Raw genomic sequence first — 23,647 nt, forward strand, 5'->3', positions numbered from 1 at the left:
TCGGTCAGTAAAGGGGTTAGGAGAGAGAGGAAGGAAAGATGAAGATGAAGAGGAATATTTTAATGCTTTAATGCAGGGACTATTTTTCTCATCTTTGTACATTCCTCAGTGCCTTGCTCAGTGCTTGGCACATAGCCCATATCCATATATTTATTGAGTAAATGAGAATGCTTGTAGATGTGGATTCTGTTAAGGATAAAGGGAATGTTGACTAAATTGCAAAGGTTGACTGGCATGCCTACTATCTGTTCTGGAAATAATACAATAGCCCCTATCAGTATTTGTTTATAAACTTCCTATGAAATATTTTCATTGGATTCATTTAAATTAATGCCAAATTGTTCCTTATCAGTGAGTCATCGGCACTGCTTTCTGCTCCCGTAGCGCCCTGTACAGATTTCCGTCAGCACTTACCATGTCGTATTGTCTTTTCCATTAGGCAGGGAACTCCTTGAGGGGACTGCACCTTATCATTTTTTCATCTCTGTATTTTCAGCACCTAATCTTGCACAGTGGCTAGCATGGAGTAGTTATTTAAATATTTATTGAACTTGAATTTTTATTTTTTATTTTTTTGAGACAGAATCTTGCTCTGTTTGCCCAGGCTGGAGTGCGACCTTGGCTCACTGCAACCTCCGCCTCCTGGGTTCAAGTGATTCTCCTGCCTCAGCTTCTGGAGTAGCTGGGATTACAGACACTGCCACCATGCCCAGCTAATTTTTGTATTTGAAAATGAATCTTAAATCTAGTCCATCTGCCCATGTTGAACATCCCCAGAAAATGGACACCAGTGTGTATGTGAACTCCTCTAATGATAGCGAACTAATCGTTCCATGGTCAGCCTATTCCTTCTTTGAATGCCTCTATTGGAGTGTCCTTCAGATTGGATTAGATTCTTATTTCTGTATTGCTTCAACTTTTTAGTCCTTGTCGTACCTTTTCCCAGATTCTGCTTCTTTGCATCTCTGACTTGCCATGGCACAAACACTGCCAGAGAATGCCTCTGGGGGATGTAGGCCCAGTAATCCTGGCTTTATTTGGTCTGAAATCTTACTCCATGGAAGGCAACCCAATATAATCTATCTTGTGTCATTCCTCATCTCCATGTTACTTCTTTATGTTTTCCCTTGAAGTCATTTGCTACCTCTACTCCTCAGAGAAAAATCTGTAGGTAAAATAAACTCATAAGTTCCCTCTAAAGTGCAGCTTTCCCAAGAGGATGCTGGATCATGGCCATGGGGCTTTTGGCCCTGGGCAGCTAGGGAGAGACTGGGGAAAGAGGAAGCAGAGAGCACAATCCCTGCCAAGGTTTCTGTTCATTTTGTCCTCCTTTCACAGAGTGTTATCAATAACTCAATGTATTCTGTTACTTAGAAGCCTCAACATTTTACTCCCTGTTGCCCATAGGATTGAGCCTAACTACCTCTGAGCTTGTCATTTAGTGCCCTGCGAACAGTCTTTTCTCCTATTTTAGTAACAGGAATAGCTAACTTTTTTAGTGCGTACTATGTGCCAGGCAGTAAAGTAAGCATTTTACGTGTGTAGTCTCTTAATTTTTTTTTTTTTTTTTTTTTTTGAGACAGAGTTTCGCTCTTGTTGCCCAGGCTGGAGTGCAGTGGTAGATCTCTGCTCACCATAACCTCCGCCTCCTGGGTTCAAGCGATTCTTCTGCCTCAGCCTCCTGAGTAGCTGGGATTATAGGCATGTGCCCCCACGCCTGGCTAATTTTGCATTTTTAGTAGAGACGTGGTTTCTCCATGTTGGTCAGGCTGGTCTCGAACTCCCGATCTCAGGTGATCCGCCTGCTTCGGCCTCCCAAAGTGCTGGGATTACAGGCGTAAGTCACTGCTCCCGGCCTTAATTCTTCTAAGAAACCTTTTATTTGAATTTATTTTATCCTAAATTTATTCTCCTACCATAAGCTTTTGTTTCATCCATTTCTTCTGGGATCTTTTTCTTCTGTGCAACCACCTCTTCTGGTTAAGGAACAATTTTTTCCTTTTTGGTAGGATCATCTCAGTGTGGCAGGGGAGCTCATGTATAGGTTAATTTGGTTTTGAGCTCTGTAAATATGGCAGTGCATCTTGGGTGCTTCATGCACCTGGATATGTTTGATGACCAGATAATCTATTAATACATCTAAACTCTTTTTTTTTTCTTTGAGACGGAGTCTCGCTCTGTCGCCCAGGCTGGAGTGCAATGGTGTGATCTCGGCTCACTGCAACCTTTGCCTCCCGAGTTCAAGCGATTCTCCCACCTCAGCCTCCCCAGTAGCTGGGATTACAGGCACCCGCCATCATGCCCGGCTAATTGTTGTATTTTTGTAGAGATGGAGTTTCACCATATTAGCCAGGCTGATCTCGAACTCCTGATCTCAGGTGATCTGCCCACCTTGGACTCCCAAAGTGCTGGGATTACAGGTGTGAGCCACTGTCCCTGGCTCATCTAAACTGTTAAGTTCAGCATTACTCTGCATTTTTAAGCATGTGCAGCAAAAATTCAGTCTTTTTGGTCCACTAACCCTGTGCCCAGCCTCACTGTTTGGCTTAGGCACACTTACTGACTCCACAGTTGGAACAATGGAATGGCTTACATGGCTTCTATAAAGTGACATCTTTCAGATACTTTGTGGCTTTTTGGATTTGCACCGCCCCCCGCAACTTCCCTCCACCCCTATGGCCTGGGCAGTTTCTTGACTCTTAAAGTGAATATGAAGATTTTAATATCTTGATTTGCATGATTTTGTGGGGTGTTCTGGGTCAAGTTAATAGCCAACCATTTTCACAGATCATCTTAGGCTGCTTACTGGAAGAGGAAAAGCTAATTCTATTTTAATACTGTTATCTTAATTTTCCAGATGAGAAAAACTGAGACACAGAAAAGTAATTTATTCAGGGTCACACAGCTTGTAAGTGGAGGTGGGATTTGAACATGGTGATACAACCTCATGTCTTCATGTTATAGTGTACACTATTGCTGGTATACACTATGACATGGATTCATTATTTTCAAAAGTCACTATGTATTTATTGTGCACTTAATTATGCCAGGTACTCTTTTTAGTCTTGGGAATTAATAAATGGACAAAGAGACTATCTCTGCTCTAAAGAAGTTATGGTCTAGTTGGGAGAGGAACCCATCAAGTGATAATGACAATATAGTATGAGGAGTAGAGTTATAAATTACGTACAAGATGCCACAAGTGTACAGAAGAAGGAGTGCTTAAGTCTATTTGGGAGCATTAAAGAAGACTTCCGATAGGGTATGGCATTTAGGCTGATTCTTAAAAGTTTATCATGTGGATAGGAGGCCACTTTAGGCCAAGGTAAAAGCATATGTATAAAGGAATAAAGACATGAAGTCTCTAATCCTTGAGCATATGATTCCTCACTAATGATATATTTACTGATAACTGCATGCTTTGTGCAAGTCACTATGTTAGGGATTTGGGTTGAGAGAAAACCATGTTTCTTGCATTCAGGGAATTTACAGTCTAGTTAGAAAAATAAGACATGTAGTCCAGTTGGAAAGATAGTGGCCATAATTCTAAAATAAGAAGTACTAAATGTTTTTTTCCGGTAGAAAAAAACAAAGTACTGTAGGGGAAGTACCCTCTCATGGATATGGCTAGGGAAGACTTCTTGGAGAGGGAGCCATTTGAGTTCGGCCTTCATGGATGATTTGAATTTCATTAGAGCATTAGGAATGAACGCCCAAGGTCAATGTTGAGAAATGAGGATGTATTTGTGATTAGCAAGTAAGAGAAGAGTAAGAGCTAAATTAAAAAAGGTAGGTTGGGGCCAACATGAGGTTGACTTTTGAATGCCAGGCTGAGGAGTTTGGATACATTTATTCATTCCTTCAGTCACCAATTATTGAGTTCTGATATATGCTAGATACTGTGCTGGGGACACAAAGATGAAAATGTGGCTCCTGCTCTCACGAGATTAATAGTCCTGTGAGGTAAACCAGACATGGGAACAGATGGTTGTAGTATAGTGTCAGCATGTGTTAAGTACTGTGATGACACAAAGGAGGGAGTGATTAACTCTGCTTCGGGAATCCTTAAAGACTTAATGGAGAAGATGTTTTGAGTTTGTTCTTGAGGATTAAGTTGAGTTCAATAGGTAGTCAAAATCAGTGAGGTAAGGAAGAGTGAGTGGTCCAGCAAAATGAAAAGATATGCAAGGCTTGGAGACGTTAAACAGCGTGGAATATTCTGGGACTGTACGCAGTTCTGTATGACTGGAATTTAGGTTAAACGTAAGGGGATAGCAGTGAGTGACTGTGCTAAAAAGCCTGGGCTGTAGAGAGCCACTGAAGAGTCTTGAGCAGGGGAGTAATGTGTTTAGATCTCTGTCTCAGAATGACCAAGTCTAATTGAAGTTTGGAAGTTACTTTTGGAAGGATCAGGTTGGAAAAAGGAGAATAAATCAGTTAGGAGATATTGCAGTAGTTTAGGAGCGAGATGATGCGGACCTGAGCTTGAGCAAAGACAGTAGGGTAGAGAGAAGTGAGCAGCTATAAAAATGTTAAATAGCAGTGCTTTCACTTATTTATGTTTTGCCCTTTATTTCTCTCCCTAATTCGTTCACTCATGTATTCAGTAAACATTTATTAAGTTTGTGGTCTGTATTAATTATTCATTATTTCCTTCTTCAAATACTTGTGACTTCAGTGTCAAACATTTTTCTAGGTCCCAGTAATTCAGCAGTGAACAAGACAACTGAGGTCCTTGCTCATATTAGGTTTAGTTTCTAATGTGGTAAAGTAGATAACAAATAAACAGGATAACTCCAGATGGTGACAAATGCTTTGAGAAAAGTAATGTAATGTGATAAAGATGACTAGAAGAGAAAGGCTACTTTAAATAGGGTGATTATGGAAAGCCTCTGAGGAAATGCTACTTGAACCAAGTCCTGAATGGTGAAGACCTAGCAATTTCGAGATTTGGAAGCAGATATGTTCCAAGTGGAGGGAGAAGCAAGTACAAATTAATGGGAATGAACAAGGCATGTCCTGGGACCAAAAAGAAAGCCAGTGTGACAGATCATAATTAGCAAAGGAAAAATGGTTCTGTATGAGGTCAGGGAGTCTGGCAAGGTCAGATTTATAAGGCCTTGTAGCTGCTGTGATACATGTTGAATTTTATTGAGCGTGTAATGAGAATTTTTTTTTTTTTTTTTTTTGAGACGGAGTCTTGCTCTGTTGCCCAGGCTGGAGTGCAGTAGCGCGATCTTGGCTCGCTGCAAGCTCCGCCTCCTGGGTTCGTGCCATTCTCCTGCCTCAGCCTCCCGAGTAGCTGGGACTACAGGTGCCTGCCACCACGCCCAGCTATTTTTTTGTATTTTTTATTAGAGACGGGGTTTCACCATGTTAGCCAGGATGGTCTCAATCTCCTGACCTAATAATCCATCTGCCTCGACCTCCCAAAGTGCTGGGATTACAGGCATGAACCACCGTGCCCGGCAATGAAAAGATTTTGATTGGGTTTCAAAATGGGAGTGATGTGAGCTGATTTTCATTTTTTAAAAGATCTTTCTGGCTGCTTTGAGAAGAATGGATTGTAGGAGGTGACTCAGTGAGAGGGTTAGGAAGTTATGGTAATAGTCCATATGGGAGATGATAGTGTTTTGGATTCGGTGGGGGGTGTTTTAGTCCTTTTGGGCTGCTATAGTAAAATACCTTAGACTGGGTAATTTATAAACAACAGAAATTTAGCCGGGCACAGTGGCTCACGCCTGTAATCCCAGGACTTTGGGAGGCTGAGGCGGGCGGATTACTTGAGACTAGGAGTTTGAGACTAGCCAGGCCAACATGGTGAAACCCCGTTTCTACTAAAAATATAAAAAATTAGCTGGGCATGGTGGCAGGTGCCAGTAATCCCGGCTACTCTGGAGGCTGAGGCAGGAGAATCGCTTGAACCTGGGAGGCGGAGGTTGCAGTGAGCCAAGATCGTGCCACTGCACTCCAGCGAGACTCTGTCTCCAAAAAAAAAATCTATATATCTGTATATATATATATATATAGATATATATATGTACACACACACACACACACACATATATATGTATATATTTCTCACAGTTCTGGAGGCTGGGAAGTCTAAAGGCAAAGTTCTAGCAGATATGATGTCTGGCAAAGGCTCTGTGCTTCAAAGGGGGCTCCTTGTTGCTGTGTCTTCACATGGCAGAAGGGACACACAGCCTCCCTAAAGCCACTTTTGTAAGGGCACTAATCCCATTCATGAGGTCTCCACCTTCACAACCTAATCACCTCCTAAAGGTTCCCTCCACCTCTTCTTAATACTATTGCATTGGAGGTTAGGTTTCAACGTACTAATTTTGGGGAACACAAACATTCAGACCATAGCAGGGATAGCAGAGACGATGGAGAAAAGTGGATAAATTTAGAATATGTTTTGAAATAGAGCCTACAGGACTTGCTGGTGGATTGGATATGTGATGTAAGGGAAAGAAAATAATCAAGCTTGCTTTTATATTTTTTTGAATTTTTTGCTTTGACTTGAGTAAATGGCATCACCATGGTACCATTAGGTGCCATGTTAATTAGGCAGTTGGAAATACGAGCTTATAGCTCAGGGAGAGGTTTGGACGTTGTTCTGGGACTCTGAAGATCTGGCTTTTTATCCTAGCTCTGCCATGCAGCTGTTATCTGTGACAAGTCAATAAGGTAATGCTGTCAGCTTTAAAATAATAAAGGCATTTGTTACGCCAGCCTCGTGTATGTTGGGAGAATCCTGTTCACTTGTTTATTGATTGGTCACATACTGTGAATTTACCAAGGTACTGCATTAGATGTGAAAGATAACAAAGACATAGGCCTTGCTCTCAGGTTGCTCATGGTGTAGTGGAAAAGTTAGTAAACAGATGTAATAATTGCTATAATATGAAGAAGCAGAGATTTCAGGGAGCACCAAAAATGGCAGGCAAGGGATCAGAAAAGACTCCCTAGAAGTGATACCATAGCTGAGTGTGAAAGTGACTAGAAATTAACCAGCTAAAGAAAGAATAGAAGAGCCCTCTAGGCAGGAGGAGCAGCATGTGCAAGGTGGGAGGTGAGAAAGAGAATGCCACCTTCAGGGAACTGTATGCAGTTTAGTATTACTGGAACCTCAGAGTAGAAGGTGGGGAGTAATGATAAAATAGGGAGACTGGAAAGGGAGGCAGATGTGATGACACATAAGGCCTTATATGCTGTGCTGAGGAGTTTGGATTTTTATCTGTAGCTGATGATTAGCTGTAGAAGAGCTTTAAGAACTTAGGTTGGCTGGGCACGGTAACTCATGTCTGTAATCCCAGCACTTTGGGAGGCTGAGGTGGGAGGATCACTTGAGGTCAGGAGTTCGAGACCAGCTTGGGCAACATGATGAAACCCCGTCTCTACTAAAAATACAAAAAATTAGCCAGGCGTGGTGGCATGCACCTGTAATCCCAGCCACTCGGGAGACTGAGGCAGGAGAATCACTTAAAGCTAGGAGGTGGAGGTTGCAGTGAGCCGAGATTGTGCCACTGCACTCCTGCCTGGGCAACAGAGCGAGACTCTGTCTCAAAAAAAAAGAGGAACTTAGGTGAATGACATGGATCAGATGTGCATTATAGAAAGATCATTCTTGGGGCAGAAATGGAGGAGGGACTAAGGGGCAGGAAAAATTTGCCTTAATCCAGGCAAGTAGGGCTTCCAAATTTATCTAATTCTAAAATGCACATAATTTCTGGTGTATTATATATACTGCAGGAGAGCATATGTTAAGTCCCAAAGGAGCTGGGAGCAGAGGAAGGTAAAACTGGAAAGACAGCTAGGGGTCAGGTCATGGCCTTGTGTGGTCCCAAGAGCTCACTGTCCGTGCTCCTGTGGAGGGCATTGTGTAGTCTACTAAGGAGTTCTTACTTTCACAGGCAGCATTAGGACACCAGAAGATTTGAACTTGGGTGACACAGTGACTCGAGAAGTACATGAGGTTGAAGGACCTGGATTAAGTTTGTAGACTGAGTAATAGGAAGGAAGGAAAAGATAGTAGATATATTTCTTACCCCACTGATCTAGGCCTTCTGGTACTACCAGCCATGAACTTTGGTTTTCCCTTCTCCCTAAATCTTCCTTCAGTCCTAGCTGTATGCTGTGTTAAGTTTGGAAAGTATTTACTGCTGGCTATTAAAGATCAAGTAGGATTATGTTAGTATTTCTCTTACAAGGAAGAGTCACTTTTTTGTTGTTTTTTTTTTTGAGACAGGGTCTTCTGTCACCCAGGCTGGAGTGCAGTGGTGTGATCATGGCTCACTGCAGTCTGAACCTCCTGGGCTCAAGTGATCCTCCTGCCTCAGCCTCCTGAGTAGCTGGGACTACAGGTGTGTGCCACCACACTTGGCTAATTTTTAAATTTTTTGTAGAGATGGAGTCTTGCTATGTTACCCAGCTGGGTCTCCCAACTCCTGGCCTCAAGTGATCCTCCTGCCTCGGGCTCCCAAAGTGTTGAGATTACAGGCATGAGCCAACATGTCTGGCCAAGATTCACTTTTATTTATTTATTTTTAAGATTTTTAATTTTTTTCACATGGCCACTGTGCCAAAAGGAGTCACTTTTAAACTTAGTAGCCGTTGGCTGTATCAGATGGCTTTCCCAGTTCCTCTGGATTCTTCTGCAATATCATCCCCACTGTTTGTTCAAGAGAGAATTAAGAGAGAATTACTCAGTGTCTGAGTATTTCCCAAGCATTTGCTTTGTGTCTAGTTCTAAGTGTGAAGTGTGAAGGGGATGCTGAACAAGTAAGTCATTTATCCTTGTTTCCAAAGCAGTTAATATTATTTAACATCTGTCTGTCATTTATTGAACACATACAGTATACCAGATTATGAGCTAGTTCTCTGAAATACAAAGAAGAATACGACTCAAATGATCCTTTAACCATTTCAGATCCACTAGGATGGCTAAATGGGAAAAACTGTTTGCAAATCATATATTAATAAGGTATTTGTCTATAGAAGATATAAAGAGCTTTTACAACTCATCAATAATAAAAAAAATAACCTAGTAAAAAATGGGCAAAAGGCCAGGCCCAGTAGCTTACACCTGTAATCCCAGCACTTTGGGAGGCTGAGGAGGGTGGATCACTTGAACCCGGGAGTTCAAGACCAGCTTGGGCAACATAGAGAAACCCCATCTTCCCTGAAAATAAAAAATAGCCAGACATGGTGGCTCGTTTCTGTAGTCCCTGCTACTCGGGAGGCTGAGGTGGGAGTATCACTTGAGCCCAGGAGGTTGAGGCTGCAGTGAGTTATGTTTGTGCCACTGCACTCCAGCCTGGGTAACAGAGTAAGACTCTGCCTTAAAAAAGAAAAGAAAAGAAAAGAAAAGAAAAATCCGCACAGAAACTTATACACAAATATTGATAGGAACATTACTCATAATAGCCCCAAGTAGAAATAACCTAAATGTCTATCCTCTGATGAAAGGATAAATAAAATGTGTCTGCCTATGCAATGGAATATTATTTAGTAAGAAAAGGAGTGAACTCCTGATAAGTGCTATAACATGGGTGATGGGTGATCCTTGAAAACATTTTGATGAGTGAAAGAAGACAGTCACAAAAGATCACATACTCAATGAATGAATTTATTTATTTATTTTTGAGATAAGGTCTTGCCGTGTTGCCCAGGCTGGTCTGTAACTCCTGACTCACAGGATTTTCCCCTGTCACCCTCCACAGAGTAGCTGGGTTTACAGGCATATGCTGTCACATTCAGCTGCTGAATGAATTCATTTGTATGAAAGGTCCAGAAAAGGCAAATATATAGCAGTATAAAAGAAATTAATGGTTACCAGGGCTTGGGGATGGGAATGAGGAGTTAGTAAATGAGCATGAGGTTTTTTTTTTTTTTTTAGAGTGACGGAAATGATTTAAAATAAGATGGTTGCATCTTATTTTATTTATTATTATTATGTTTTTGGAGACAGAATCTCCCTCTGTTACCCAGGCTGGAGTGCAGTGGTGCAGTCTCAGCTCACTGCAGCCTCTGCCTCCCGGGTTCAAGTGGTTCTCCTGCTTCAGCCTCCTAAGTAGCTGGGATTACAGGTGCTCTGGCTCTTTTTTTTTTTTTTTTTTTTGAGACAGTATCGCTCTGTCACCCAGGCTGGAGTGCAGTTGCATGATCTCGGCTTGCTGCAACCTCCGCTTCCTGGGTTCCAGCAATTCTCCTGCCTCAGCCTCCCTAGTAGCTGGGATTACAGGCATGCGCCACCACACCTGGCTAACTTGTATTTTAAGTAGAGACGGGGTTTCACCATGTTGCCCATGTGGTCTCAACCTCCTGACCTCAGATGACCCGCCTGCCTGGCCTCCCAAAGTGTTAAGATTACAGGCTTGAGCCACTGTGCCTGGCTGGTTGCATCTTATTTTAAATATACTAACAATAATTGAATTTCTTACTTAAAATGGATGATATGGCTAGGCATGGTGGCTCACACCTGTAATCCGAGCACTTTGGGAGGCCAGCGCCGGAGGATCACTTGAGCCCAGAAGTTTGTAGAGACCTCATCTTTACAGAAAATAACAAAAATTACCCAGGCATGGTGGCATGTGCCTATAGTCCTAGCTACTCAGGAGGCTGAGGCAGGAGGATCCCTTGAGCCCAGAAGGTTGAGACTGCAGTGAGCTATGATCAAGCCACTGCGCTACAACCTGAGTGACAAAGACCTGTCTCAAAAAAAAAAAAGGAATTGGGCAGTGAAGGAGTGAAGGTGAGTAGAGAATTCTAGAGAGAAAAGACGGCAGCAGCCAAAGAAAGCACTGAGGGATGAAAGAGATAGATAGTTCAATGTGGCTGGAATGTAAGCCATTTGGTGGAGAGTGGTGAAATAAGGTCGCTGGTTGGGCCATATTATGAAGTCCTTTGTGTGTCCTACTAAGGAGTTTGAACTTTAACCCCAAGGCAATAGAAAGTCATCAAAGTTTGTCAAAGTAGTAGGATGATGCAATCAGGTGTGTGTCTAATAAAGATCACTGTGGCTGCTGCTGTGTCATGAATCTGTGCTGGCAAAGTTAGAGTCGGGGAGATCATTTTGGAGGCCACTCCAATTGTTAGAGAAAGAGCAAGGGATAAAGTCTGAACTAAGGCACTATGGCAATGAAAAACTCAAGGGAGATTTTATAGATGTTTAGATATGATCAGCACATGAACTGTATGGGCTGTAAAGGCCTTAGGAGTTCATAGAGGATAGTTCTGTTCTGAAAGATTCTGGAGGAGGTGACACCTAGATTGGATCTTTAAAGATGGGTAAAAAGTTTGAGTATATGGAAAGCTGCAGTGCATATAGGAAAGAGTGAGAGAGGAGGGCCAGAGAGGGAGGAAGCCAGACTGAAAAATAGGAATTTGATGGGATAGCAATTGAAGAACCAAAGAAGCAAACTTAGTTGCTCCCAAATTTGAAAAGTTTAATTTAAAAAGGTTTTTGGCCAGGTGCGGTGGCTCACGCCTGTAATCCCAGCACTTTGAGAGGCCGAGGCAGTTGGATAACTTGAGGTCAGAAGTTCGAGACCAGCCTTGTCAACGTGGTGAAACCCCATCTTTACTAAACGTACAAAAATTAGCCGGGCGTGGTGGCTGCACTTGTAGCCCCACCTACTTGGGAGGCTGAGGCATGAGAATCGCTTGAACCTGGAAGGTAGAGGTTGCAGTGACCTGAGATTGCGCCACTGCACTCCAGCCTGGGCAACAGAGTGAAACTGTCTCCAAAAAAAAAAAAAAAAAAAAAAAAAAGCTTATCAACTCAGCTGGCCAGGAGGTTGTGCTTTCTGATGAGGGGTGGGGGTAAAGGGCAGGCAGCAGCTGTAGCAGCTGTTAGAGCCAACATCTACTTTCACTTCACTGCCCAAAGTGTGCCACCCTTGTCAGGCTAACCATATCCAGTGTCTGCATGATCTCCAGCTGATTTATGACTTTGGTGGCCTGAAAGGTGAGGTTTCCACTTCAACTTATTAGCCTTGAATTCTTGGCAAAGCTGAGGAGTTGGGGAAGAATGTGAATGAGAGGAGAATGGGGAGCTACAAATGTGGTAGCCTGTGAACCTTTGGACTTCACTTGTTATCTTAATCACGCAGAATACCACAGTATCTGAACCCCACCAGATAGAGACAGTTAGCCTGGTTGTGCTGAACCTACCAGGTTTCATGAGCTAGCTAATCTGTCTTTTTCTCTGGGGCTTACACAGCATTTTGTGTATATGTCAAAGGTTATCCTTATCATATTATTTTATATTTAATAGTCTGTCTCTCCCTACTTCTTGGACTGTGAATACATCAAGGGCAAAGGTTGGGCTTATTCCTCTTTAATGTTTTGTGAAAGAATGAAGTCTTGGCTGGGCATGGTGGTTCACGCCTGTAATCCTAGCACTTTGGCAGGCTGGGGTGAGCGGGTCACTTGAGCCCAGAAGTTCAAGAGCAGCCAGGACAACATGTGGAGACCCCTTATCTACAAAAAATTTAAGAATTAGCTGGGTGTGGTGGCACGTGCCTATAGTCCCAGCTACTCAGGAAACTGAGGTGGGAGGATTGCTTAGGCCTGGAAAGTCGACACTGCAGTGATCTGTGATTGCACTACGGCACTCCAGCTTGGGCGACAGAGTGAGACCCTGTCTCAAAAAAACAAAAACAGGCCAGGCATGGTGGCTAATGCCCGTAATCCCAACACTTTGGGAGGCCCAGGCAGGCAGATCACTTGAGGTCAGGAGTTCAAGACCAACCTGGCCAACATGGTGAAAACCCCATCTGTACTAAAACTACAAAAATTAGCTGGGTGTGGTGGTGCGTGTCTATAATCCCAGCTACTTGGGAGGCTAAGGCAGAAGAATCGCTTGAACCCAGGAGACCAAGGTTGTGCCACTGCACTCCAACCTAGGTGACAGAGTAAGACTCCATCTCAAAACACATGCACACGGCCGGGCACGGTGGCTCACACCTGTAATCCCAGCACTTTGGGAGGCTGAGGTGGGTGGATCACGAGGTCAGGAGTCCAAGACCACCCTGGCTAAGATGGTGAAACCCTGTCTCTACTGAAAAAAAAAATACAAAACATTAGCTGGGCGTGGTGGCACGTACCTGTAATCCCAACTACTCTGGAGGCTGAGGCAGAGAATTGCTTAAACCTGGGAGGCAGACGTTGCAGTGAGCCAAGATTGCGCCAGTGCACTCCAGTCTGGGCGACAGAGCAAGACTCCATCTCAAAAACAAAACAGAACACACACACACACACACAAAACTCGCACAAAAAACCCAAAAACAAACAAAAAATATAAAAAAAAGAATTCTCTAGCTGTATAGTTGATCAGTTGTTAGTATGAAAGGATCAGCTGAATTGTCTGAAATGCTAGGTTGCTCAGCCAAAGAGGTGAAGGATTGGGTTTCAGAGTTTAGGGCCCTTTACAGTTAGCAGATACTTGAAGCCAGGGTGGGAGGCCATCCTCTGAGTGATAGATATTTTTGATGTATGCATATGGTAGTCCCTTGGTAGATTTTTATTGATATAGCCAGGCACGGTGGCTCACGCCTGTAATCCCAGCACTTTGGAAGGCCGAGGTTAGTGGATCACTTATGTCAGGAGTTTGAGACTGGCCTGGCCAACATGATGAAACCCTGTCTCTACTAAAAATACAAAAATTAGCCAGGCGTGATGGCTTGCACCTGTAATCCCAGCTACTGGGGAGGCTGAGGCAGGAGAATCGCTTGAACCCAGGAGGTGGAGGTTGCAGTGAACCGAGATCATGCCATCGCACTCCAGTCTGGGCGACACGACAGAGCAAGACTCTGTCTTAAAAAAAAAAAATTGTTGATATGATTTGGTAGCATCCAGTTATACCTCACCACACTAAAGGCATCTTACTTTTTTTTTGTTTGAGGCGGAGTCTTGCTCTGTCTCCCAGGCTGGAGTGCAGTGGCGCGGTCTTGGCTCACTGCAAGCTCCGCCCCCTGGGTTCACACCATTCCCCTGCCTCAGCCTCCCCAGTAGCTGGGACTACAGGCAGCATCTTAACTTTTAATTCTGTGGTAACTAGGGAAACTATAGCAGTTTTGAAGGCCAGAGTATTATAGCTCACTCCAGAACTTTGGAGTTAGACAGATTTTATTTGAATTATTATAGCATTTTAGCTGAAGAATGCAATAATGAGGCTGGGTATGGTGGCCCACACCTGTAATCCCAGCACTTTGGGAGGCTGAGGTGGACGGATCACCTGAGGTCGGCAGTTTGAGACCAGCCTGACCAACATGGAGAAACCCTGTCTCTACTAAAAATACAAAATTAGTTGGGCGTGGTGGTGCATGCCTGTAATCTCAACTACTCGGGACGCTGAGGTGGGAGAATCGCTTGAACCTGGGAGGCAGAGGTTGCGGTAAGCCGAGATTGTGCCATTGCACAAGAGCAAAACTCCGTCTCAAAAAAAAAAAAATGCAATAATGAAAGTCGTCTAAGCCAACTCTCTCATTTTATAAATGAGGAAACTGAGGCATAGAGAGAGGTACCCTATTCATTGACATATAGCAAGTAAAGACCTGTGCCAGATTAGGATGTACATTATTTTTTTCTTCACTGAGAAGGGTATTTTGTTGCCTTGAACCAATTTTTTGGGGTGAAAAGTGGGAGCGAGATATAATCCTAGCCCCTGCAGAGGGTAGTCCTCTGTAGTCCTAGCTACTTGGGAGGCTGAGGTAGTCTCAGCTACTTGGGAGGTAGTCCCAGCTACTTGGGTGGCTGGGGTGGGAGGATTGCTTGAGCCCAGGGATTTGAGGCTCTAATGTACAATGATCATGCCTGTGAATAGCCACTGTACTCCAGCCTGGGCACTATAGCAAGACCCTGTCTCTTAAAAAAAAAAAAAAAAAACCATGGACAAAGGCTATGAATAGACTTTTCTCCAAAGAAGATACACAAATGGCCAAAGAACACATGAAAAGAAGTCCAACGTCATTTAGCTGTCAGGGAAATGGAAAATCAAAACCACATTGAGATACCATTTCATAGTCACTGGATGCTTTAATCAGAGATTATAAGTACTGGGAAGGATATGGAGAAATTGGAACCCTCACACACTGCTGGTGGGACTGTAAAATGGTACAGCTGCCGTGGAAAACAGTTTGCTAGTTCCTCAAAAGGTTAAGCAGAGACTTACCATATGATCCAGCAATTCTGCTTCTAGGTATACACTCAAGAGAAATGAAAACATATATTCACACAAAAATTTAAAGATGGATGTTCATAGTAGCATTATTTATAATAGCCAAAAAGTAGAAACAATGCCTACATTCATCAGCTGATGAATGGATAAATAACGTGGTATTTATACGATGGAATATTCTTTGGCAATACAAACGAATGAACTACAGTACATGCTACAAAGTGGATGAACCTTGAAAGAATTATGCAAAGTGAAAAGAAGCCAGTCACAAAAGACCATATATTTATGATCCCATTTATATGAACTGTCTAGAATAGGCAAATCTATAGATAGAGACAGAATGTAAATTAGTGGTTGCCTTGGGCTGCAGGGAACATGGAGAGTGACTGCTAACTGGCACATGATTTTATTTTGAGGTGACAAAAATGTTCTCAACTTGGTGGTGATAGTGGCACAACTTTGTGAATATACTAAAAATCTCGAATAGTATACTTAATTTTTTAAAATTTTAAATTGACAATTTATATATTTGTGTAAGTTTGTGGGATACAGACTGATGTTATAATTTATAAATACATGGCCAGGCTCGGTGGCTCATGCCTGTAATCCTAGCACTTTGGGAGGCTGAGGCAGGCAGGTCACTTGAGGTCAGAAGTTCGAGACCAGCCTGGCCAACATGGTGAAACCCTATCTTTACTAAAAATACAAAAATTAGCCAGGCGTGGTGGCGCATGCCTGTAATCCTAGCTACTCAGGAGGCTGAGGCGAGGGAATCACTTGAGCCTGGAAGGCGGAGGTTGAGTGAGCTGACATCGTGCCACTGCACTCTAGCTGGGGCGATAGAGCAAGACTCTGTCTCAAAAAAAAAAATTTCATAAATACAATGTGGAATAATTAAATCAAGCTAGTAACTTATCGATCACCTCAAATACTTAACATTTTTTGTGGTGACTACATTTGAAAATTCACTCTCAGCAATTTTGAAATGTACAATATTCTGTTATGAACAGTATTAACCATGCTGTGCAATAGAACTCAAAGAAAAAACATATTCCTCTTGTCTGAGATTTTGTACAGAATAGTACATTTTATTTATTTTTTTAGAGACAGGGTCTTGCACTGTCACCCAGACTGGAGTGCATTGCTGTGATCAGGGCTCACTGCAGCCTCAAACTCCTGGGCTTAAGCAGTCCTCCTGCCTTAGCCTCCCAAGTAGCTGGGACTACAGGCACATGCCACCACGCCTGGCTAATTTATTTATTTTTTGTAGAGATGGGTTCTCGCTGTGTTACCCAGGCTGGTCTCAAATTCCTGGCCTCAAGAGATCCTCTGCCTCAGACTCCCAAAGTGCTGGGATTACAGGCATGAGCCACCGTGCCCAACCTCAGAATAGCACACTTTAAATGGGTGAATTTTATGGTATGTGAGTTAGATCTCTGTAAAGTTGTTAAATAAAGAGTCAAGTGTACAGATGCGTATGGCTGTAGATGCAATTTGTGATTGTGAGTGCTGGGATGTAGTAGCAGTGCTTCTCAAACTTTAATGTACATATGAATTATTTCAGTATCTTATTAAAATTCAGATTCTGACTCAGGAGGTCTGGGATGGAGTCTGCGATTTTCTGTTTCTTAACAAGCTCTCAGGGTACTCTTGGTGCTAGGCTGTAGACCACACTTAGCAAGGCAGTAGAGGATGTTTGTTCTTCAATAAATGGGGTCTGTCTAAAGAGCCTACTAGAGACCAGAAGGATTTGGCCAGAGTTTTGCAGTAAGGCAGAATGTGGTTTGGTGAAAGAAAGGGCCTTAAGGGACAAAATGAGCAGCCTGCCTACAGATGCAGAGATCATAGGGTTTATGATATTTTGGGGGGACAGGAGACCTGTTTGTGGGGATACGTTAGTGAGTCCCTGAGTCTTTTGAACCTAAAAAAAATGTAGCAGTCAACTTCTCATAATTTTTCATCTTTGCAAAATGTTCTCTTTCCCTCTGCCTAGCATTTATTTTTGGTTTAATGTCTTTCAAATCTGGGCATGACTGGGGGCCTTGTGAGATCCTAGTTGGGGAGCAATTGGCTAGCATTAAGTCACTGTAGGTCTTAGGAGTTGGATAAGGGCTCATGAATCAGTAAGTATCCTTATCTTGAGAGCCTTACCTAATTAGCTACCTGAGCTTTGGACAAGGTGCCTTCAGACTGAGTTAATGCTTGGCCCCAAATGAATAAACTCCTTAATGAGGGAGCAAATGAAGATGCCTTTCCAGATGGTACAGGTTAATTATAGCCATAGTTTACTCCTTCCCTTATTTTTTTTTACTTGAGCAGGAAGACTGGTTTGGATGTAACTTAAATAACCTTTTTGGTCAGGAGGCAAATATTAAAGCCAGATCATGTCTTACTCTTAACATTTGTAGTACTCCATGAAGTGCTAATGATCCTCTAAGCCTCAAGTCTAGTCTCAGCCTTAGTTCTTGCCCTTCCGAGCTGCCTTCCCTGAGGCTCTGACAGCATTACTGTCCTCTGCTTCACCAACATTCAATTATCTCTGGCCTCTTCTAGTAGTTTTAAAATATGTCCACTTTGCCAGGAGGAAAGGCAGTGAAATCACTTGATCACCTTGAATATACTTTCTTCACAGCTCTATAATGAAGTCAGAAGTCTTATTTCTCTATTTTCTAGATGGAGAAACTAAGCCATAGACAGTAGCATGCTTGGTCCATTATGTCAAAGAGAGGCACCTTCATGCCTGGCCCAGTATTCCAGATTTTCCTAGTTTCCCCCTCATTGGATTTGGTTTCTTGAACAGGTAGTTGCTTTGTTTTGTTACATAGTTTTTAACATGATTTCCCTGGTGTCAAATGAATACTCCTTTCCCTGATGCTTATTAGTTATTTTTCAAGTGTTTGTTTACTCTGTACAATTTAAGCATCTCCAGGTGAGGTGCTGGTTTGTCAGCATACTTGCTTCCCTTAATAAAGAGAATTTTCTTCAATTCCACAAGTACTCATTGAGTGCTTAATATATGCTCAGCTCTGTGCTGTTCTCCTTGAAAGACATAAATCACTATAAAGTGTGTCTTGGCTCTGAGGGAACTAATATGTTCATGGGATGGAAACAAATAAACATAAACAGGGCCAGGACTAGGGTGAGGGAAACAAGGTGCTAGGGTATAAACTTTAGAGAGCCATTCACTCTTAAGGTCCTGCAAGTGCAGGGTAGGTACCTGAGAGTGAGTGCTTCCTTAAATTTTGAGCCCCAGGTCTCTTGCTTGCCCTATCCTGGTGCTAGAGACAAGCTGTTAGACCACTTAGAAAGGATGTCTAAGATAACATGAGACTGAATGACTAACATAGAACAGTGCTTCTCAAATTTAATGTACATATTGATCACCTGGAGGTCTTATTAAAAGGCAGATTGTGATTCAGTGGGTCTGGAGTGGTACCTGAGATGTTACATTTCTATCAAGCACCCAAATGATGCTGATACTGCCAGTCCATGGGCTACACTTTGAGTGAAAAAGAGAAATATCCATGCTGGAGAAAGGCAGAGGACCAAATTCCCTAGGCTAGGGAATCAGGAAAGTTGCAGTTGGAGCTGGGTTCTTAAAGGATAACTAGGATGTAGATAAGAAACAAACAACAACAACAACGAAAAATAGGGAAGGGCATTGTAAGTACAAGGAAGGGTATGCAAAGGCCCAGAGACAGAAATGAGTCCCACGTGTCTTGGGACAATTAATAGATAGGCTTGGTAAGATGCAGGTCCAAGTTGGAGAAGAAGAAGAAGAGTTTTGGCATGTAGCTTGAAACCTGTGCATGGATTGTTATTTAGAAATGTGATTCATAATTGCCTGCTCAGGTACCTCCCATGTGTCCCCTCAGAGTATCTGACCTCTATCCTTCTGGGAGATGAAGGCCTGAGTCAGGGCACCTGAATAAATTCTGTGAGGCAGTGTGGGTAGGAAAAGGAAGGAGGGATGTTGACTTCATTACCTAGATTGGTTAGGCAAAGTCCTGGTAAATTTATTTTTTGACTTAGCTGGGAGATGTAGCAGCTGGAAAGGCCACCTTCAATAGTGATGGGCATTTCCAGTACACATACATAAAGGATGCCTGGTAAATATGTGCTGATTTGACTCAGTAGTAGAATGAAGTTCTACCTGTGTTACTATTTCAAATGTTCAACTTATGGGACTTTCCTGACGTTATCAGAACGTGGGTAACAGGACCTTGAACATCTTAAGTACTAAAGGAATGGTTGTTGATTGATTTGAGTATTTCTAAGGCCTTGTCTCTCTTCTGTAGATCAGATCAAAGAACATTTTCAGCTCAATTCAGTATAAGAATGCATTGAGTGACTTATGTACTGAGACTTGGGTATGCTTCTGTATGACTGCAAGGAGGTAGAAGACTTGAGCCCTAAACTCAAAGAATATAGTATTATTCTAGAGCAGTGGTTTTCAACTAGGGGGACGCTATGGCAATATACAGGACACCTTCCTCAACAGGGAATGAACCACCCTAAAATATCAGTAGTGCCAAGGTTGAAAACAAGCTCTGAAAAGATAAGACTACCAAATAGAACGAGAACTTTGAAGTCGGATGGCTAGTGATATCGCTAGTTAATAGCAGCAGGGCAAGAACTAAATTCAGTTTGCCCAGGTCCAGTGTAGCCTAGCGGCTACCATAGGGCCATTTAGAGTCACATGGTGTTATATCTAACTCTGTCTCCCACTAATCCTGATTCATACTTTTTGCTCTAGCCATACTCAATTGCTTGTGTACTATGCAATTTTATTCCTTCCTGTCCATTTTAGTCCCTTTGCCTGGAATGTATTTCTCTTATTTCTTCTTCTGGATAATTCACATCTCCTCCATAAAGCCTTCCCTAGTCTAAAACACCCCAGATTGGGTTAAAAGGTTAAAAGGCAAGGCACCTCTTTGTTCTATAGCTAGTCTTTATTATATAATAGATAAATTTTCTGTTTACGTCTGTCTTTCTCACTAGTCTGTGAGCGTCTTTGGAGTTAAGGATTCTTGTCCTCCTCTGCCCTTATTGCCTAGCACAGACGTGCAACACATTCAGTCATAGACATGAGTCAAACTAAGCTGTTAAAGAAGGGAGAGATCAGTGTGAAATAGAATGGTTGGTAAGGCTTCATAGAGATACTAAGACTTGAAGCTTCTCTAATTCCTTGAAGATACTGATAAATGTGTGAGCACCTTATATTGGCAGGGACAGTTTTAAGACAGTAACGGATTTTTCTGGTGGTGTCTTTCTACAGGTTGATATGTCAGATCTCTCTCCAGAAGAGCAATGGAGGTAAGTGTGGTAGTTCGGGCCCTGCAGTCTAGGAACTGCAGGTTAACCCAGCTTAATTGAGTGATATGTCTACCCATTTTGCTTTCTTGTCAGTAGGAGGCAGTGGCTCATGACCGGTAGGACTGGTCTTTTGGGATCTCTCTAAGTATCTGGGTTGCTCTCTTAGTCTTGAATGTGTAAGCAGATGATTGCACCAAATCATCTATCTGGGTTTCAATACCATTTCTACCATTTACTAGCTGTGTGATTTTTGAGCAAGTTACTTAACTTCTCACAACCTTACTTTGCCCCATTTGTAAAATGAGGATCATAACAATATCTATACCTCATAGAGTTGTGAGGATTAATATATGTGAAAATCTTAGAAGAGTGCCTGGCATGTGGTAAGCTTACAGTAAGTGTTAACTGCTTTGAAGATGATTATCATTAACATCATCATTATTATCCATGATACAGGATGGGGAGCTCTGGTTAAGAAAATGGGAGATGTATCTTCTGTTCTCAACTCTGCAACTAACTTGTTTTGTAAATAGAATGAGCCATCATATATCTTATGATGATTGCTCATCAGTAAAAGGGTTTCAGAGTGCCTGCCCCACGAACTTCACAAGGTGACTGACCAATGAGGTGATATCAACCTTAGAATTTAATAGTGAGAAAAAACCTATTGATTTTATTTAGATTAAAACTATTGACTATAAAAACATAGAATGGCAAAAATACCTGTTCACATGACAAACCCAGTGTGATTTTAGGTGATTTTAAGCTTAGTATGAACCAGTTGTGTACCTCAGCTACCAAAATATTCTGAATAATTTAAAAGATGTTCGTAGAAATATGCTGTCTGCTGTAAGAGAGGTGATAGTGCCACTGTGGTCTGCTCTGCTGAGGTCACAAATATTTTGTTCTAAGCATGGCATATTAAAAAGATCTTTAACTGGATCATGTGTAGAAGAAGGCAACCTGGATTAATAGTCTTCATATCATGTTATATGAACAGTGGTTAAAAGATCTAGAACTGTTAGCCTCAAAGGGCACAGGAAAATAGTGGTAGGAACAGGATGGTTTTGTTTTGTTTGAATAACATCATGATAAATCTTTGAAGGGGTGGCATTGGGAAAGAAGAGTCAATATGTCCTTTGTTGTTATGGAGTATCGGATTAGGTCTAATGGACTGAAGCTATAAGAAGATAGATTTTTTTTTTGTCTCATTGTCAGAACTGTCTTTAATAGTCAAGGTATATTGAGAGGTAATGAGCTTTCTGTCCCTAAAACATTGGGATTTTATTCATTTATAAGCAAATATTAGTACCTGCCCAGGTGTGGTAGCTCCCACCTGTAATCCCAGCACTTTGGGAGGCCAAGGTAGGAGGATCCCTTGAGCCCAGCAGTTCGAGGCTGCAGTTCATCTAGCCTGGATGACAGAGCGAGACTCTCTCCAAAAAAATAATATATGTATATGTACCTACAATGTGCCAGACACTGCTGGTTCTAAAATAGATTACCTTAAAAGGCATGTGTTCTCAGCCAGTGGAAGTATTCAAGCAAAGATTGCAAAAATGATTTTTGCATTGGGTGGGAACTTGAACTGGATGACTTCTCTGGTCTTTTCTAGATCATTCTTTGACTTCATTTTGTGCACATCCGTTCACTGATATGTTGTCTGAGAACAAGAAACTTATCTCTTGCTATCTTTATAACTCCTCATAGCCCTTAGGTGTTTTTAAGTGTGCTCTACCCTCTTAGCCTATTCTCACAACAACTCTTGAGTCAGGCAGAAAAAATATGGACTCCTTTTGACAGATGAAGAAATTGTGATATACAGATGTGAGGTTAATTGGCCATGGCCATATAGGTGGGTCTGAATCTAAGTTTCGAACTCCCAATCCTATTCTCTTTCTGTCAGATTCTCCCACCCAGGGTAAAGTTTTATGTCAGATGAACCCTTAGGTGCTGAGGCTTACTGACTGGCATTTGGCTTCCCACTCTGCCCACCAAGTTTTCCCCCCTTACATTTTGTTATGAAAAACTTTAAACACATAGAAAAGTTGAAAGAATTGTACAGTGAACACCTTTATACTTACCACCTGGGTTCTACACTTTTTGTTATATTTGCTTTATTGTTTATAATTCATCCTTCTGGGTTATTTTTGCTGTTAATGTTTAATTGCCCATGGAAATTCCATGAAGACACTATTTATGTTGTCCTTTTCCTCCCTCCTAAATACCCTGGTGTAATGGGAATTGTATAAAAGCTTATGACTCAAGTTACATTTGTATTTGATTTTATTATTTATTTAAATTTGCCCTTTCCCACACATTCTGATGTATTTGATTTTCTCTCTAATTCCTTCTCTTCTCTCTCTCTTCTTCTTTTTTTTTTTTTTTTGAGATGGAATCTCATTCTGTCGCCCAGGACGGAGTGCAGTGTTGCGATCTTGGCTGACTGCAACCTCCACCTCCCAGGTTCAAGTGATTCTCCTGCCTCAGCCTCCTGAGTAGCTGGGATCACAGGCATGCACCACCACACCCGGCTAATTTTTGTATTTTTAGTAGAGACGGGGTTTCGCCATGTTGGCCAGGCTCATCGTTAACTCCTGACCTCACGTGATCCTCCGGCCTCAGCCTCTCAAAGTGCTGGGATTACAGGTGTGAGCCACCGCGCCCGGCCTCTAATTCCTTTCTCATTCCTCTCCTTTGGATGACTGTGACCCAGAGTGGTAGGAGTGACTGTTCTTAGAACAAGTTTTTAGCCAGTATTAGCCAAGGGAATCACTTGCTGCCAGTCTTTAAGACCAGCGAATGCCAGCCTTAGATTAATAAAAAGTTTCCAGCTGTACTCTCTAGTTACTAAACTTCCTTGAGCCTTTGAGGAGGCTGTTTACCTGTGGATACTGAGGGTAAAGTCACTGTTGGATTAGTATAAAGTTGAAGCAGTCCAGACTTTTTAGGCTTTAACTAGTCTTAAGGATTTCTGACTCTGGCAGAGAGGGTGGAATGAATAAAGCAAGACTTTAATCCTGGAATCAGCACACATTTGCAGCGTTACTCCTTTACTGCTGTCATAAATATTGGTGACTAAGCGTATGAGACTTTATGTCTATAACCTCTTTGGGTTACTTTCTCGTTCCAGCATCAGGTTGA

General features: G+C 42.2%; 1 protein-coding gene across 7 annotated transcripts in view, besides 2 other annotated features; it reads left to right on the forward strand.

Annotated features, from left to right (window-relative positions):
* Nucleotides 1–23,647, forward strand: part of RNF121 (ring finger protein 121) — a 68,552-nt gene that overhangs the window by 7,716 nt on the left and 37,189 nt on the right. For 3 of the 7 annotated variants that reach the window (NM_018320.5, XM_006718629.2, XM_006718632.2), the window contains exon 2: nucleotides 20,466–20,503. The exons of the other annotated variants lie outside the window; for them this stretch is intronic. In NM_018320.5, coding sequence (NP_060790.2) covers nucleotides 20,466–20,503 — 38 coding nt within the window. The remainder of the gene's footprint in view (nucleotides 1–20,465; nucleotides 20,504–23,647) is intronic. 7 annotated transcript variants of the gene reach the window in all.
* Nucleotides 12,284–13,221: an enhancer, noted in NCBI's record as "H3K4me1 hESC enhancer chr11:71660091-71661028 (GRCh37/hg19 assembly coordinates)". NCBI's record gives its function as "activates a minimal SCP1, AML or CMV promoter by ChIP-STARR-seq in naive H9 embryonic stem cells {active_cell/tissue: H9 hESC(naive)}" and the evidence as "EXISTENCE:reporter gene assay evidence [ECO:0000049][PMID:30033119]".
* Nucleotides 13,222–14,157: an enhancer, noted in NCBI's record as "H3K4me1 hESC enhancer chr11:71661029-71661964 (GRCh37/hg19 assembly coordinates)". NCBI's record gives its function as "activates a minimal SCP1, AML or CMV promoter by ChIP-STARR-seq in naive H9 embryonic stem cells {active_cell/tissue: H9 hESC(naive)}" and the evidence as "EXISTENCE:reporter gene assay evidence [ECO:0000049][PMID:30033119]".

This window comes from Homo sapiens, chromosome 11, assembly GCF_000001405.40.
Source record: "Homo sapiens chromosome 11, GRCh38.p14 Primary Assembly".
Classification (NCBI taxonomy): Eukaryota; Metazoa; Chordata; class Mammalia; order Primates; family Hominidae; genus Homo; species Homo sapiens.